The sequence below is a fragment of the Homo sapiens genome, chromosome 7 (genome assembly GCF_000001405.40).
Source record: "Homo sapiens chromosome 7, GRCh38.p14 Primary Assembly".
Lineage (NCBI taxonomy): Eukaryota > Metazoa > Chordata > Mammalia > Primates > Hominidae > Homo > Homo sapiens.
In genome coordinates this window covers 28,966,251-28,968,694 of record NC_000007.14, presented here as the reverse complement: position 1 = coordinate 28,968,694, position 2,444 = coordinate 28,966,251, and positions in this window count along the sequence as shown.

Below are 2,444 nucleotides of genomic sequence, written 5' to 3'. Positions count from 1 at the left end.
CCTTGGCTCCCCCTCCTCCATTTTCAAAACTAGCAATGGCTGGCCAGTCTTTCCCACATTACATCACCCTGAACTTCTCTGCTTTCCTCTTCTACTTTTAAGGACCCTGGTGATTACACTGAGCCCATCCCATACTCTAAGATAATCTCCCTATTTTAAAGTCAACTGTTTACCAACCTTAATTCCATTGGCAACCCTAATTCCTCTTTGCCATGTAACCTAAACATATGTATAGGTTCTGGGGGTTAGGATGTAAGTATCTTTGAGGGACCAGTGTCCAGCCTACCAGGGTGGGAAAAAAATGTTTTATGTTCTTGCTGGTTATCTTTATTTTGTGACTTTCTACAATGTACATACACTGCTTCTGTAATAAAAAGCTAATCTTCATTTAAAAATAAATATAATGGTGGAGGAGAAAGAAATACAATAAGTGGTAATATTGTGGAGATCCTGAATACACACCTACAGTAGGAATGAAGAAAACAAACTTAATTATATGTGAGAATAGGTATTGGTGAGGTGGAAAACTGCCACTGAAAGAATCATATTTAAAAATGCTACAGTTCAAACAGTATGTATGAATGGGCAGATGATTTATTCTGGAAAATGTTAAGTATCAAACAGTGACTCTAGCTATGACAAGGACACTGTGATAAAAGATTCCTGTGAAAAGTATGCATAAAAATTTTCAGAAAATATTAATTCAAGTCCCAGCATTGTCATCACTTACCAGCTGTGTGACCTTATGCCAGTTACTTAATCTCTCTTTGCTTTGATAGCATTATCTATAGATGGGACTAACTGTACTTTCCTCAGGGGTCCTTGAGGGATTAAATGATTTAATACTGGTAGAGGGCTTAGAACTGTGCCTGGCACATGATCAACCCTCTGTAAACGCTAGTCATTAACGGTTATTACTCTGGCAGGTGTTTGTAGCCACCTGTTTCAGATGGAAAACCACTCTGGAACTTTAGTTAAGCTGGTGCTTACATGCCATCACTCAGGGAATAATGAGAGTCACCTGCTGATTATCCATGAGGTTCTTAAACCCAAGGATACTAGCTCAATTAGCTAGTATCAGTAGCTAATTAAGAATTTCAATAGTGAAACTATAGAAATTCTTCCCAAATGGCTAAGTTTCCAGGAAACACCCCTTCCATGTTAGCCTGGTGACTAAATAATACTTCTGAAGAGTCAACAGTTATTTAGCCTAGATTGTTAATGTGCCAAACGGTGCTTTCAACTATGGGGTTCTAACACCTATATCCTGATGGAAAGAAACGTCTAATAATTTGCTAGTTTGAGTGACAGCTTGGGGACAAAGCAAAGAAGCTTTCCAGAACTGTGAGAGACTGGAGACAACTTCAGTAAATATTATCCTGCTCACTGTGGATTAATGTTAAACTGGTTGGATACCATGAGTTGTTGAATTGGTCAAGCACAACGTGGAAAAGCACCTTCCATTGTAGAATGTGACAATTTTATGTAAAACACTGTATTGTATTCAAAGAACTGTAACATCAACAAATTTCAATGAATTCAAAATGTTCCATTGAAGAAATGCAGTCAATTCCTTACTGTTTAAAGCTAGAAGGGCTCTTTGAAAACATGTAACCCAGTGTTCCTCAAACTAGGTCAACAGTTCTATCTCCCATCCCCCATTTCTTTCTTTGTTTTCTGTAAGATTTCTCAAAGCTTTGTATGTGCTATTGCGCACTGTGAATCTCCAAGACTTAGACATGGTATTGAGGGCCAGTCTGACTACTGGCTCCTTTCCTTTACATGTCATCTTTTCATAACTCAAGGGCCACTGATGATGACAAGAACCTTCTGGGCAAACATTGATGTATCATCATGGACATTACATCAGACAGCAAGAAACTAATGTCCAGCACCGTCAAGTGATTTGCCCTGTGAGCTCAATGACTGCAGAGCTGGCCCAGAATCCAGGCCTGTCTATGCAGCTATCCAGAGAGAACCTGTGGGCCGAAGATGTGTGCTCTGGGCCCAGGTGGCCTGGAGAAGGGCTATGAAACCATAATAAGATGGAAACAGATGTACAAGGAAAGACAGTAAAGCCAGTTACCTGGGAATGTGGCTTCCTCCTCCTTGTTTTTTGCTGAACCTAACATTTATTAAAGACCTACAGTTTCAGAAAAGACCCTATGTTGGATGTTACAGAGAACACTACGAAACTGTGCAAAAGACTTGGTTCTGCCCTCAAGGACCTCAGATTCTCATTGAAAAAACACGCATGAGGTTGAAATGTTGGCAACAATTCTATGTTCATACCATTTGTTGTGTTCTAAGCAGTTTCACATACATTTTACAAAACTCTTACAGTGGGCAAGTATGATTTCTCCCTTTTTATAGATGGGAAAATGAGCAACTGATCAGGGAGACTGTGATGTGGCTCAAGGGCAAGAAACACAGCAAGTGGACCC